Source organism: Homo sapiens, chromosome 3, assembly GCF_000001405.40.
Source record: "Homo sapiens chromosome 3, GRCh38.p14 Primary Assembly".
NCBI lineage: Eukaryota > Metazoa > Chordata > Mammalia > Primates > Hominidae > Homo > Homo sapiens.
The window spans coordinates 3440249-3456609 of record NC_000003.12 but is presented as its reverse complement, the minus strand read 5'-3'; positions in this window follow the sequence as shown (position 1 = coordinate 3456609).

Genomic DNA, 16361 nt, shown 5'->3' with positions numbered 1-16361 from the left:
TATAGCCCCATTTCTCCTGACTGCGGATATGGGCCTGTTTCCATTTTCTGATAATATTAATACTTATAAAGCAGGTCTTTGACATTTTGGGTAAGGATTTTATCTAAATACCAGATAAAACAAAATATTCCTCTGCTTAAACTTCTCAGAGTATTTCACTGATCTGGGAGTAACCTGTGTGATCAAATGAAACTGGCTCCGTTCTCAGCCCCTGCTGAGCCCTGAGGAATCTCTCCTTGAATTCTTCTGGAGGTTCTTCCAGGAGCCTTAGGGAGGTAGTTCCCTCACATACATGTACTGACTGGTACTCTGCTATACTCAAGAGGGACCCACTGCAGATCCCCACAGTTCTCTCTCTGTACAGCTCTCTCCTCTTCAGTATGCTGCCTTGAGAACTCTAGTTATCTTGGTCTCCCTGAAATCTCAGCTCCATGTCCTTAACCCAGGATGTCCAGCAAGCTCTCCCTGGTTTTCCCCATGTTGTGTTGCAGACTGGAAAATCTCACAGGCAGTAAGGTAACATAATCATAGGGCTCACCTCATTTTTTTCCTGCCTTTCAGAGATTATTGTCCTTCATTGCTTGATGTTCAGGGTCTCAAAAACCACCTTCATGCATTTTATCCAGTTTTTAAAATTGTTTCAGCAGGAGAGTAAACGCAGTCCCTGTTATTCCCATCTTGGGAGGAAGCAGAAGTTTTCCAGTATTATTTAACTACACTAGCTAGTTTTCTACCCTTTCAGAATATAGGGGATTTTATTTCTGCATAATAGTATTACTTTATAAACCTGCCTATATTGTCTTCTCCCTGGCAGACTCATTATTTTTATTGACTTTTCCACTTATCAAATTCTCAATTTGAAACCACAACATGTCAAAGCACTTACATTCTCTTAGCTTTGTTTTTCTTTTTAAGAAGCAATGGCTATCATTTCTCAACATATCCTCTAGGTAGTAACACATCTTTTGAAAAGATTTGTTGGAATAGCCCAATAAACATTTACGCTCCCAAATACACTGGAAGGAAAAGATGATGCAGAAAGTCCTCTCGCTTACGGACTCCCCACGTGCAAGTGCACTGGCCTAACATAGTTAATTCTCTTTTCAGTTTGAGCATGGAGAAGGGGTCAGAAATAGCCTCACAGGCTTTTCTGAGCCAGAAAAAGGTACAACTCACTTGAGAATGTGATCTATTAGGAGTGCTTTTTGCCTGCATCACTGACCGTTTGGCTGTTCACACTGGGAAATGTGTTCCTGATGCCGACAGCCTGGCAGACAGACCATCTTGATCAAAGACCTAGTCACAACATTTAATGCTTTCTGGAAGCAACCTGAGACAGTACCAACAGAGTCCCAGATTCTCATGAAAGACAGATCCCTGGTCCTTGAGTATTTTGAACAAATCTTAGAAAACACGATCATGGCAAATTATATTCAATGAATTCGTTTTTCTAACATAAAATTTTAATTTTGGCCATTTGAACCTGATCTTTAGATTCAAAGTGGTTTCCTACCTGCTGAATCAAAACTTCTCTGGGCACATGTAGCCTACTTAGGAATCTGTTTTGGTAAGTTGGTTCCTAGATTGGTAACCTGGGAGACATGCCAGTTACAGACATGTCTCTCCATAAAGAATTTGAGTCAATGTTTTATAGTGGAATAATCTGAACATCTATCAAATATTAGCTCTTTGGTGCAAATGTAAAATGCTTTGGCATACACTCGTTTTGCAAACAGACTTTCTGGAAATGTTCCTATGATCTACAGGATGGTGTATTTACCCAAGGATTCCTACATCTGAACCCAAATCTATCATCTTTTCCAACATGTTTAGGAGAATCCAAGAGAAGCTAAAACTCACCTTTGCTGTCAAAAATATAAAATCCTTTGACTGTTTTTGTCTGTTCAGTCCTCCCTTCTTCCCCTCTTCTTCTTAAAAAAAAAAAAAAGGCCCCCATCCATAGGCGAGAACAAGACTGGTCACCTGTTATACCCATATACCAATTTCACTGAGAGAGGATTGGTTTCAAGATGGTGATATGGTTTGGATCAGTGTCCCCACCCAAATCTCATGTTGAATTGTAATCCCTAGTGTTGGAGGTGGGGCCTGGTAGGAGGTGATTTGATCATGGGGATGGGTTCTCATGGTTTAACACCATCCCTCTTGGTGCTGTCATTGCATAGTGAGTTCTCATGAGATCTCGTTGTTTAAAAGTGTATGGCTCCTTCCCACTTTATCTCTTCCTCCTGCTCTGGCCATGTGAAGTGTTGACTTCCCCCTCTGCCTTCTGCCATGATTGTAAGTTTCCTGAATCCTCCCTAGAAGCCATGCAGATGTTGCCATGTTTCCTTGTACAGCCTGCAGAATTAAACCTCTTTTCTTTATAAATTACCTAGCCTCAGGTATTTATTTATAGCAGTGCAAGAACAGACTAATACAGATGGGCACATGACCCAAGCTAGGCTAATGAAAGTCCTTCCTCAGTTCTCTTCTAAAAGGAATTGTCAGGAAAGAGTCTTTTCTTCTCTGGGCAGAACTTTATTAGGATACCCCTTTATGTAAGGCGAAGGAGGGTGTTTATGGACTGAGGCAATAAAGCTGCCACGCGGAAGAAGGAGGAAAAGAGATGGAGAGAAGTGTACCAATGGTGTCTGAGTCCTTGTTTCCAACCTTTGTCCTTCTGGAAGTCTGGGAATCCGGACCAACATATTACTGTATTTTACACTATTTGACATTGAGTTTTTGTCATTTGACTGTATATTAGAGTGCTAATACAAGAAGATACTGAAATAAAAACTAGTTTTTATTCTGATTAAAGACATCATTAATAATTTTAAATAATTTTCAAGCAGAGGAAAAGCTGTTTATTAGTTAAACTTAAGAGATTTGGTATTCTAACAAGAGAGATGGTTAAACAGGTTTTAGGACTTTTTGTGAAAAATAAATGAAACACATGAAAAATGAAAAAAAGCCAAATATAATCTTTTCCTTATTAATAAAAGACAAAACAAAAACACTAATGTCAAATAACTTTTTATAATCTCATCCATGCCATTTTATATGTTTTTGGTGAAAGTCCTAACATTGCATAAAACGTAAGAAAAACTGTTAAGAGAAATTCTCTTTGCCAGAGGTGAAAATAAAAATGAAATGAAGAGCCATAGAATGTCAAAGCTCTAAAAGAGAAGAAACAAGCTCTCTGTGCAGTTGAAGTTCACATCTGTAAGATGCTGAAGCAGTTTTCAGGGTTGCACTTCCGAATTTCATTCCTTCCTTCCTTGCATGGCTCTGCAGTCCTACCAGACCCATCTATTCCCACTACAAGTCTCAGCTTGGATGGAGCCTTTCCTGGGCCTTTATGATTGCTTTCCCTAACTCCTAGGCATCATTGATGCTGATTTGATACTTATGATTAGCTTTAAAGTAAGAATATTGTTTAGTTTTCCTATTATAAAAGCATGCCAAAAAACACTTAGAAAATAAAAAGGATCATCCATAGTCTCACATCCCAGTAATAACTGTTAAGGGTGTGGTGTATTTCCTTGAATATTTTTGTGACCATTTGATGTAATGGGAATCTTACTACACAAAAGTGTGCATCTACTTTTTGCTCAGAACATTGAAACAAAAGTATTTTCTTATATTACTCTTAGCTCTTCATACCCATATTTTATTTACTGGCTGAAAGATAGTACTGAATATTTAGAGATTTCTCTCTTTATGAGTACAAATGATAACATAGTCATCTATGTGCATAAACTTTTTCTGGTAATAATACTTAAAAGTTTATATGTAAACTTTTAGAAATAGAATTGACATGGAGGAATGCTTCATGACATCAAATTTCTTCTAGATAATAGAAATTATCAAGAGAACAGAGTAAAATGAAATAATTATTTTTAAAAAACTATTAGAAGAAAACGTCTGAGATTTAAAAAAAGAACAGGAAAGGTTTTTTTTTTTTAAATATTGACCAAGCTTTCCAAATGCTAAATAAAGAAATGTATCCTTATTTTGGTAGAATTTCTGAATGGTCTTACGGACAGGAAGAAAATGGTCTTATAGACAGGAAAAACATCAATGTGGCATCAGACTTCTAGCATTTAGTGTTTCGGGGAATGCAATATTAGAAGACTTTTCAGTGAATGATGTTTAGAAAATTAGCTTTTTATTTAAAAAACATAACCAAAAAATTCTAAATTGGTTAAAAAAATTAACTAAGTAGTAGAAGATCATCTCAAAGAGGGGTTTTATTTTGGGGGAAGGTCAGGAAATTATAAAGAATGATTTAACTCTGCAAAAGTTATAAACTTTTATATGGCAAAAAAAAAATCCCACCACAAAAGTCACAAAAATAAAAACACATATTTATAAGATATGTGATTGGCAGAAAGTTAATATCATTAATATATAAGAAGATTATATAAATCAATAAAAATGAAACCCCATCCCAAAAGAAAAATGGACAAAATATAAATACTGACAGTTGAGATAGAGAAATAACCTATAATATATATATATATATAAAGATATATACAAATAAATGTCCTTTAAGAGAGAAAAAGATATCTTTAGCCATCTGTTCAGTAACTATCTTTTAAAGTGATATGGGCAGGGTAGTATTTCTCAGACTTGTGCAAATGGAGATTCCTAGACTCAATCCATTTTGATTACTGTCTAGTAGGCTGGCTGTAAAACCCAGTGATGTGCATGCATCACCATCTAAGGCAGGCAGTCCTGAAAACACTTCTAGAAACATTGGCCTAGAGATTTTAATAGTGAAGAGAATAGGCCCTCACTGTTAATTTTTGGTGAGGTTGTAATTTTTTATAATTTTCTTTGAGGAATGTCTGGCAATATGCATAAAATCTTTTAATGTGCCTACCTTTTAATCCAGCAATGCTACTTCAAATTTTAGGAAAATATTTGTTGTACATTTAAGGAAATTATCTGGTAATCATGTCAATAATATATATAATAGGGTATTGGTCAGGACGTTATTTATATTAGCACAAATCTCAAAATACCCTAAAGGTCTAGAAGTAGATTGATTGTATTAAGGTACATTCACCTACTAGAATACTAAGCTGCCATATAAGGAATGATGTATATCTGCATTAAATAATTTATTTCTGCATTGCAGAAAAAAACATGAGGTGCTAAATATGTGTATATTGGAGTGGGGCAATATAGGATAGTATATGTGGTTTCATTCCAAGTGTGTATATATATTTAAACATACACAAAAGTTGGCCAGGCACAGTGGCTTATGCCTGTAATCCCAGCACTTTGGAAGGCCAAGGCTGGTGGATCTCTTGAGCTCATGAGTTCAAGACCAGCCTGGACAACATGGTGAAACCCTGTCTCTACAAAAAAATACAAAAATTAGCAGGGAGTAGTGGTGCATGCCTGCAGTCCCAGCTACTCGGGAGGCTGAGGTGGGAGAATGGCTTAAGCCCAGGTGACAGAGGTTATAGTTAGCTGAGATTGTGCCATTGCACTCCTGCCTGGGCAATAGAACCAGACCTTGTCTCAAAAAAAAAAAAAATACACAAAAGTCTGAAAAGTTATACACAATACTTAAAAATGATTCTCTCAGGATTTTTATGTCTATTTTATATGCTTGAATATTATATGGTTTTTTTAAGTGTCTGTATGTGTAGTGAATAAGCAATAAAAATACTTATTTTCTTTCAAGTTGTTCTGTTCAAAGAAAAAGTAACCCTAGACTCTATTTATGGTTGAGAAGAAACATTTTGCGTGGTTAAAGAGTACGGATAGACTTATCTCAGGTAGAGACAGGTTAAATTTATGAGGAATGACGTAAGCCTGCTTCAGTGGATAGAGTGGGATTGGACAGACTATATTAAAAAACAAGTACCTCACAAATAATTTGATTCTTCTAGAGATAAGCTGCTTCAATCAGATTTTTTGACTAAATTTAGAGTGTCTCAGAGGAGAAAATATTCCATTGACTAGAATTGTAAAGCTTAAACCAAGTTTGTCGGAGGTGAAATTAGAACATGTATTACCAGGAAATACCTTCGCAGAAGAGAAGTTTCTCTGTGACTCTCATAAAAAGAACATCATAATAAAGCAAAATTAAACATTGATAATCTTTGTGAAAAAAAAGGCTACACAGTGAGATGTAGAAAATGTATTAAAATTAAAAAAAGACTGCAGCAGATTTCATTAAAAGCTACAGCTCTAAGTTCAAGAGCAGAAAATGTCTTTAGCTTTTAAAATTTAATTTGGTTTATTCTGAAAGAAATAATTAAAATGTAATGTGAAATCACTAACTTTCATTTTCTTAAAGTCAAACAGCAAGATGGCTCGAGGGAAAAACCAGGGCCGAGAGGCAAATATTGGATAAAAAATGATTCCTAAGGGCTTACAAACTCATAAAAATTAACCTTTCTTGGGAATTAGTATGTAACTCCCATTGCAAAGATGAGCAGTGTTTAATTTAAAATGGCAACTAAATAGACAGAATAACATGCTTATTGGCAATGTATATTACTATTCATTATAGGTCTCCACAGTACAGTTGCGGCAGTAAGATCCCATTTAATTGCAAGTAACAGATACTCAATTCAAACTAAGTTAAAAAAGAGGGGAGAAGAATTTACTGTTTCATGTGAGAAGGAAATTCAAGAGGCAGAGCTTGTGGCTTACGGCAGTTGCGTTCAGGTACTCAAACAACATCTTCAGAATTCTCTCTCTTTCCTTTGACTCTGCCTTCCCCTGGTTTTATTCTCACATGGGCTTTATCCATGGGGAGGAATCCTGGCCAGCAGTAGTTGCAACCTGCATTATTTCTCCAGCTTAGCATCCCAACAGTAAGGTTCTTGCCCAACAGCTTTAGCCAAACATCTCAGGAAAGGCTCTCATTGGCCCATCTGAGTATCTTGTCCAATCCTGAGTTAGCAAAGTTGGGGCCATATGAATGACAGCTCCCACCAGGCAGAAAAGGCAAAGTTCCCCAAATGAAAACTTGCTCGATCTTCTGAAAGTAACAGTTCTCTATATCTATCAATCAACCTTTTTGTCTTAAGGAATTCTACCACATACTAGGCAGTCTGCTAAGAACCATATGAAAACAGAAAAGTGTGTTAGACAAAGTTCAGGCATTTGCACCTTAATATTAAGGTTAACAAATACACGTGAGAAAGATGCAGATAAGAAGTGCAAAAGGAGTTGAGAGCTTCTTTGAGGAGGTAAGATTTGAACCAGACCTTGAAGCATGAACAGTGCTTGAAGAGGCAGAATAGAGTGGAGAAAGGCAAAAACTTCTGGGAGGTTACAGAAAATATTTTTAATGGGTTCGGTTAACAGAGTTTTGACCATTGAGTAGTCTCATTGACCGTTGAGTAGTTAACAAAGTTTTGACCATTGAGTAATTCTTGAGTTCTTGGGTTGTTTATTCCTTTTAACCCACTTATTTCACTTTCAGGAATCCTTCCAAAAAAGAATACAAAATTCAAACAACTGTTTGCACACTTATTGCAGTACTATTTACATTTTGAGAAATTAGAAAATCTAGAACGGCCAATAAAAGGGAAATGTGTTAATTATATTACATTTATATACAAGTGTATGCAATTATTGGAAAATCTTTTACAAAAAAAACCCTCTTGAAATGTTAAACTGATCATTGACATGTTACTTACAAAAGCAGTATGCAAAATTTTGAAAAACTGAGGTTTTTCAAATGAGTTGTAAACATAACTAAGTGGGCGGGTGGGTGGATATATATATGTGTGCAGAGAGAGACAGAATGAAAAGATCAGAAAGCAGAGAGAAAATGGAAGGAAATAATTAACAGTAGTAATAATTATTCATTATTTCCACAACCATTTACCAAGCTTCTATTTGGCCCGCATGGTGAGCATAGTGGTTGGCACTAGAGGTCAAAAGAACAACAGTGTCATAAGGGAAGCGAGAAAGAAAAGGAGAAATTAGAAAGCTGACCAGAGTACATACAGTTGAGGAGAAATTCACATGCACAGTTTACATGGTGCAAAGAAATTAGTTAAGGGCAAAGCTGGCCTAGCCTGGGAGATCAGGACAGCCTTCTCTGAGGAAGAGATGATTAAGTTGAGAATTAAAGGCAGAGTAGAGAATTAAAGGCAAGTGGGAAAGAGGGTGGGAGGTAGTAGGACCAAGATTATGAGGTCCAAGGTAAAAACTAAGGAAGAACAAGGCACTTGACAAGAATTGAAACAAGGCCTTGTGCCTGGAGACTTAGGCAGTGAACCATGGAAGATGAAGCAAGAAATATGGATGGGTCAAACCAAGGAAAGCCCAATATGGACACTAGGTAGGGGGTTCAGTAGAGTCTTGGTGTATTTTTCCCCTCTTTTTCATATGTTTCACTATATTTCACAATTCTGACATTGAGTATATATGCTTCTATAATTAGGGGGAAAATAAGTAATTTGGAAGACAGGATGGGGAAAGAACCATGAGTGAGACTGTGTGAGCAACTTTATCTCACAGGACTTTGGGCTCTTTTCTGTAGGGTGTGAGGACAGGATGTTGACTTCCAAAAGTCCTTTTGACTCTGCCACCTTCTTGTTTTGTGAACACCAGAAATGAAGGCAGTACCCATGCTCGGGAGCCATCTTCCGAGCCTGCCTCTGTCTCTGGTCTCATTGCTTTTCCTGTGTGAATGGCTGAGTATTTCTTTCTCACTTGAGTGTACTTTGTTCTGAGAAGGGAGCCTCTTTGGCTGCTTAAAGAATTAGTCATCCAGGCAAACCTGGAGTTGGGTGAAAAGGGAACAAAGGGGAAAAACCTACTAAGCAGTAATTATTGAGTAACTTCTATCTAAAAACTATTCTAAATAGCAAGGCAAGTTAGAGATTTATCTCTATTTGATGATGATTTATCAGGCATGAAGTAAGGCAACCAGGTGAAGATAAAAACCTGTAAATGAAAGTTGCAGGTAGCAAGAGCAGATCATGAATGATCATGGGCTTCAGAATCAGAACGGAGTGGCTATATCACTCCAGCTGTATCAAAATGAGGCTATTGTAGCTTTGTGAGCTCCCGTTTATCTTTTTTTTTTTAGGTGGAGTCTAGCTCTGTCACCCAGGCTGGAGTGTAGTGTCATGATCTCAGCTCACTGCAACCTCCACCTCCTGGGTTCATGCAATTCTCTTGCCTCAGCCTCCCAAGTAGCTGGGATTGCAGGCATGTGCCACCATGCCCAGCTAATTTTTGTATTTTTGGTAGAGACTGGGTTTCACCATGTTGGCCAGTATGGTCTCGAGCTCCTGAGCTCAAGTGATCCATCTGCCTTGGCCTCCCAAAGTGCTGGTATTACAGGCATGAGCCACCCTCCCCAGCCCCTTCTGTCTTCATTTGAATGCCTTGTCACCTCAGAGGGGATTAAATTAGATAATACATACTGAAATATTTGACTCTTAATGGATATTTAGTAAATGGCAGTGCCCCTCCCAGGAGACTTCAGAGGGGCCCAGGAGCTGGAAGGAAGTAAAGAAAGGTTTCATGGATATATTGGCACTTGAATGGGCCCTTTAAAGTTTGGGTAAATGTTGAGAAGGCTCCAGAGGAGGGTGGAAGATACTGTCAACAAGGGTGGGAAGAAGGTGGAAAAGAAAAAGGCGAGGTAGGAGAGGGAGCAAATAATCAGAGAACCTTTATGAGGTTCTTTATGAGGGCAGATGGTGCAGAGTGAACATTTAGTTCTTCACAGGGTGGTAGGAAGTGAGATTCAGGATTCCACACGAGGTTTGGACCACGAACTTCCAAAGGGGATGCCGCTGTGGTGGGAAGATCTAGTCCCTCCCTTTACACTCTTGTTTTTTCCTTTTCTTGGCCAAGGGGCGACTTCCATAGACCTTCCAGAGAGGCTCCTCTCCTCTCCTTTCCATTTCCATTGAGCAGCATCTTAAGTTGCATGATGCCTGGCATGAAGTAAGCGTCCCCCATGTATTTGTTAAGTTGAACTGAAATCAAAGTTGAACATATTTGTTGACTGAAAAAATTACAAACTCATTTAAAGAATTCTTAACTCATATTCCTCTACTCGTTGGTGCTTGCATATTTAATTCCTCACTTTCTGGAAGCATTTCTGTATTTATGGAAGAGAACAGGACTAAAGAACGATGTGTTTAGCATGTTCCTTTCATAGAGAGCCTTCCAGAAAATTTTAATAGACAGGAAAATGTATTAAGTCTGCATACTTTTGGCAGAATTACTTGGCATTAATTTCTTTTCAGGCAGCTTCTCCATATTGTGACATGACATAGCATTTTGTGAAATGATTCTTTCACCATCTTGCTTTAGATTGCATTTGGTAACTATGGAACATCGTGACTATTCCCACACGGGTATCCATGGAGTGACAGTAGCTTCCACTGAATTTACTTGAAGTAGCATCATAGAATATAATCATAGTATATCCTAAGGTTTTTTTTTTCCAACCCAAACTTTTTAAAAATTACTTTTGAAGACATCATCTGCCACATTGACGTAGGCATAGTATGTGAAGCAGGCTGTGTGTACAAGTGCCTCTAAAATATCTTCGGTCTTAACTTTCAAGGGCTTTCCAAAATCCTCAAAACCTGAAATAAATCTCTATTTGTTCTACTGTGGCCAGAAGAGGGCCTGAAGCAGAACTCTCTCTAGATTGTTTTTTTCTTTGTCTTCTTTTTCCCTTTCCCTATACTAGCATGAGTATCCTAAGCTCTTGAACCTGGTAGAAATATATGTTAATCTTTTCCTTCTCACTGTGCTAGGGTCAATGAGAGGCTTAGACCGCAAAGTAATAAAGAAATCTGAATTCCCTGAGATGACTTAGCTCAGGGGTGGGGTTCTCTTCAGAGATTTGAGAATGTAGAATATAAAGAAAGAGAACAGCAGAAAAGGAGCAGAGAGTTTGTTGGTGGGAAGTAGTATTAATTGTAAGTACCACCCCTCAAAAAAATCCAAATATAATGAAGCTTGTTCTCTTTAAAGGAAAGAGTGAACTTGTATATTTTTTTTTAAAGTCTATTGTTACTCCCAAAGTGACAAAATTATAGTGATAGAGAATCAGACCTTGGTTGCCAGAGGTTAGGGTTGAGGGTATGGTGCAACTCTTAAGGGGTAACACGAGAGAGATGCCTGGTGATGACAGGACAATTCTGTATCCTGAGTGGGGCCATGTCTACTAGAATCTACATACATGATAAAAATTCCATAGAGCTATACATCAGGAAGGAAAAAGTACATGTAGAAGCTGGTAAAATCTGAATTACAATCTCTATTTGAATTCATAGAATTGTACCAATGTTGATTTCTTGGTGTTAACTTACTATAGTCCTGTGAGATAATATCATTGAGAAAGCAAGGTGAAAGAAACATGAGAACTTCTTGTGAGTCAAACTATTTCAAAATATGTATTTTTTTAATCCCGTGATTTTTCCATGATAGAAATATAAAGCTCTGTTGTTACCTCAAATTTCTTATAAGCAAACCGAGCCCAGGTGCAGATGTGAGCTGTTTGGGATCCCTTAGAGAGAGCCTACATCCGTGACCACATCGAATGAGTTCATCTGATTCTTTTTGTATCTCAGGAGGCTGGCCTATGATATCAGTAGAACTGACTGTGATCATGAAATTTTCTCCACCGCCAAGGGTTGGGGATGGGACACTAGAGAAGAAGTGGCTGCTCTCGTTTAGTAGAGGAAGAGAATACTTTTTTGTGTATCTTTGCTAGGAGACCCAGGATTGACAACTCTACTGCTATTTTAGAGACCTTACATGACTTGGTTCCTAGTCGATAAATTATGCACACTCTAGTTTGCTCTATGTTTTACACAAAGCAGTGAGCAAGACCATTAAGCAAGATTTGCCAAAGGCCCTGTTGAGTTTCTTCTGTTCTGTTCCATTGTGTGGCCAGTGCCTGGTAAGCAGAAGGGATTTTATAAATATTCAAGAGTGATACGGAGTGGAAGCTCCCTGAGGTCTGGGACTTTGCCTCATATACTTCAGAATCACCAGCACTTATAAATGAATCTGGTACATACAACAAACTCATAAACATGTTTTACAGGAAGAAATGTATTCTGTTCCTCAGATACTATTAACAGGACACTTTTTATTCTGCCTTTGGAATGGGCCTATGAGAAACTGGTATTTATTTCAGGATAACCAAAAAGAAGTCACAGAAATCAGCCAACAATCAATGATTAAGTCATGGCTGTGATTTTCCCTAAAATTTGGGGATAACTATTAGATATGATAATTAAAATGTAGGGAAAAAAAAAAACTTGAAACTGTGCATACTGTATGATGGTTCCTGAATCCCAAAGGAAAATGCAAGTCTAATCTTCACAGGGGTTCCCCTGATTCCTCTCATTCTTTAACTTCCGTGTCTCAAGATTTATCCTTCTTTGATATCCTTTTCCATTCTCTCCTTTCCCAGAATCCTCAAATTACAACCTCTGAAAGCAATATCTCTGTGGCTTTATTTTTCAGGGAAAGATGCCTCCTTTTTTCTAACAAATCAACACCATATTGAGGGACCTCGTCTCTCTCGTCGAAAACAGTCCTCCAGGTGTTGTGCTAAGCAAGAGAGCTGCCCCCCTCTGGGATGTGTACTGCCTCTTTTGTGTAATTCAGAGCAGATCAGACAGAAGGTATTTCACGTGTGGAACAACATGGAAACGATGAAGTGGCAAAAAAACAAGCCTGGTGTGCTTCAGGGATAAGAAAGCAGAGTTGATTGAGGGGAGATTACTTTGTGGAGAAAAATGGCAATGAAGTTTCTCGGGTAGAGTTGGGTTAGAATACACAGCAAAAGAGAACAGGATCCGTGTGGTAATGGAGACCAATAGAGAGTGGATAAAAGAAGAGCACACTTGACATCCCATGAGGCTCTGCCTGGTCTGACCCCTCCCTCTTTCCAGCTTCACCTCCCACAATGCCCTCTGCTCTCTGCTCAAGCAACACCAGGCTTTTTTCAGTTCCTCTTATTTGTCAGGTTATTCCCTCTACATTTTTTTATCTAGTTATTTCTTTTTTATTGTGATATAATTCGTATTCCATAAAAGTCACCCTATCAAAATTTAAATTGAATGTTTAGTGCACTTATTAATTTGCACAATTATCCCTATTATCTAATTTCAGAACGTTTTATCACCTCAAAAAGAAACCTGTACCAATTAGTAGTCATGTATTTAAATTCTTTTTATGGCAGAATACTATTCTGTTGTGTGGATCTACCATACGTTGTTCATTCCTCAGTTGATTTTTTAGTTATTAGGAGTAATGCTCCTGTGAACACACGTGTACAAGTTTTTGTGTGAACATGTTTTAAACTCCCTGGGGAACGTCTAGTTAACTCTTACTCATTCTTTGGATCTGGGCTCAAGCCTTCCTTTCCTCATAGAAATCTCCGATACAAGGTACTGCCTCGCTCTTTCCAATTAATAATATGCCCTGTGGTGCTATATGACTTTCCTTCAGGTACCTATCACAGGTGTGATTTACATTATTTGGTGGATATATAATCAATACCAGTAAATGTTTGCTCAATTAATTCAAAAGGTCCAAGTCTGGAAACATGGATTTGCCCCATTTTACAGCCTCTTATTCACATAAAATCTTAAGTCTAATGGCTTCTCCAAAAGATAGTAACAGTTCACCACAAAATAAATACCAGTGTAGAGAGATCACTTGCCTGAGCCCATCTGTAAGCTTGAGCTGCTCAAAGAGCTTTACCCATTTTTTGCAGGTGTTAAAATGTTTTATGTAACTAAGAAGAAAAAAGCTTATAAGTGGGGAAAAATAATAACCTACATAATGCTTCCCACACTACTGAACTTATTTGAAAAAAATGGATAATTAAATGCTCTTACAGTGTGTTCTTGACAAAGGCATTTGTAGCAACAACACATTGTAACTTTCAGCATTTGCAATTCTCTTGTAATTGAAACAAAACCACCAGGAAAAATTAACCCTTGAAAAAAATAACAATTTTTTTTCTGTAAATTTTATGTCTTGAGTGAGTTCTACATTATACAACTGAGCAGTCAAAACTCCTCCCTAAATACTCTGAATGTAAAATTAGCAGCAGATAAAACCTTTTGCCTTCTAAGTTGAATCCTATCATAGCCTGACTTACTGATCATATAAAAGAACTAATTAATTTTTTTAATATTAAAAAGTATCCTGTGCCAGACACAGTGGCTCATGCCTGTAATCTAGAATTTTGGTAGGCTGACGTGGGAGGATTGCTTGAGTCCAGGAGTTTAAGCAGCCTGGGCAACATAGTGAAACCCCATCTCTAAAAAATAAAATAAAATTAGCCAGACATGGTGAGACATGCCTGTAGTCCCAGCTACTTGGGAGGCCGAGGTGGGAGGATCACTTGAGCCCAGGAGGTTGAGGCTACAGTGAGCTGAGATTGTGCCACTGTACTCCAGCCTGGGCAACAGAGTAAGACCCTGTCCAAAAAAAAAAAAAAAAAAAGAAGTAACCCATACATCAAGTATGCTTTAGTAACTTTAGGAAACTTTTCTTTTCCTATAAATTATTTCAGTGTGTGTATGGATATGTACATTATGTGTGTGTGTGCATGTGTATTGAAGTGTGTTTGTTTTGTTTTTTGTTATTACCTCTCCTTCATACCTCTTTGTACCTGTCCTGTTGAGGCAGCCACACTTGTCTGAAACCACAAATTCTCATACTTTTCAATGCTTACTACACATGACAGCTAACATTTTCTTTAGAAACACATTCCTTGGGAATATTTCAATTTTGCTAAAACTTTTTGCATTGTTTTGAATATTTTATTCTCAAATGATTGCAAATCCACAGGAAGTTTCAAAAATACCAATACAGTTTTTCCAATTGTGTCTATTATGTTAAAAGACACATAATATGAAATTTACCATCTGAACCATTTTTAAGTGTACAGCTTAGTAGTATTAAATACATTCTTAATGTTAGGGAACCATCACCACCATCCATCTTCAGGACTCTTTTCATCTTTTAAAGCTGAAACTCTATACCTATTAAAAAATAATTCCACATTTATTCCTCCCTACAGCCCCTTTTTGTCTCAATGTTTTTTGCTTTTTGCTTTTTGAGACAGAGTCTTGCTCTGTTGCCCAGGCTGGAGTGCAGTGGCAGGGTCAGAGCTTACTGCAGCTTCGACCTCCCAGACTCAAGTGACCTTCCCACTTTAGCCTCCTGAGTAGCTGGGACTACAGGCACAGGCCAGCACACCCAGCTAATTTTTGTATTTTTGTAAAGACAGGGTTTCACCAAGTTGCCTGTCCTGAGCTCAGGTGATCCACCCACCTCGGCCTCCCAGCATGCTAGGATTACAGGCGTGAGCCACAGTGCGTGGCGTGTGTCTGATTTTGACTGCTCCAAGGACCTCATGTAAATGGAACAATACAGTACTTGGCTTTTGGTAACTGGCTAATTTCATTTAGCATGATATCTTCAAGGTTCATTCATGTTGTAGCATATGTCAGAATTTCCTTCCCTTTTAAGGCTAAATAGTATTTTATTGTAGGTATAGACCATATTTTGCTTATCCATTCATCTGTTGATGGACACTTGGGTTTCTTCCATGTTTTAGCTATTGTGAGTAATACTGCTATGATCACGGCTATGCAAATATCTCTTCAAGAGCCCATTTTTCATTCTGTTGGAAGAAGTGGAATTGCTGACCATATGGTAATTATATTTTTATTTTTTTGAGGAACCATCACACTGTTTTCCACACTGGCTGTACCAGTTTATATTCCCACCGAGATTGCACAAGAATTCCAATTTCTCTACATCCTCACTAACACTTGTTACTTTATTTATTTATATATAGTAGCCATCCTAATGAGTATGAGATAACATTTCATTGTAGTTTAAATTTTTGTTTTCCTAATGATTAGTGATGTTGAACATCTTGTTTTGTTCTTATTGGCCATTAGTATATGTTTTTTGGAGAAATGTCTATTAAGTCCTTTGCGTATTTTGACTTGGGTTTTTTGTTGCTGTTGAGTTTTAAGAGTTTTCTGTATATTCTGGATATTAATCCCTTATCAGATGTGAATAGCAATATACTTTTTGGGGTTTTTTTTCAGTTTCTTTTGAATAATAGTTTATTTTTAATCAAAGTTTTGATTTTAAAATTTAACATTTTTGAGGTAATTTAAGACAACATTTTTGCTAAAGATGTATTCATAATTTTTCATGCATTTGGAAAATATTTATGAAGCATCTACTCTGTGCCAGGTACTTTTTAAGATTATTTTAGATATAAATAGTGATCAGTTAAACATCTGCTGCAAGCCCTACCAAATTGCTGTTGCTTCGGGGTAGAGTTAACTGGTTGTTAA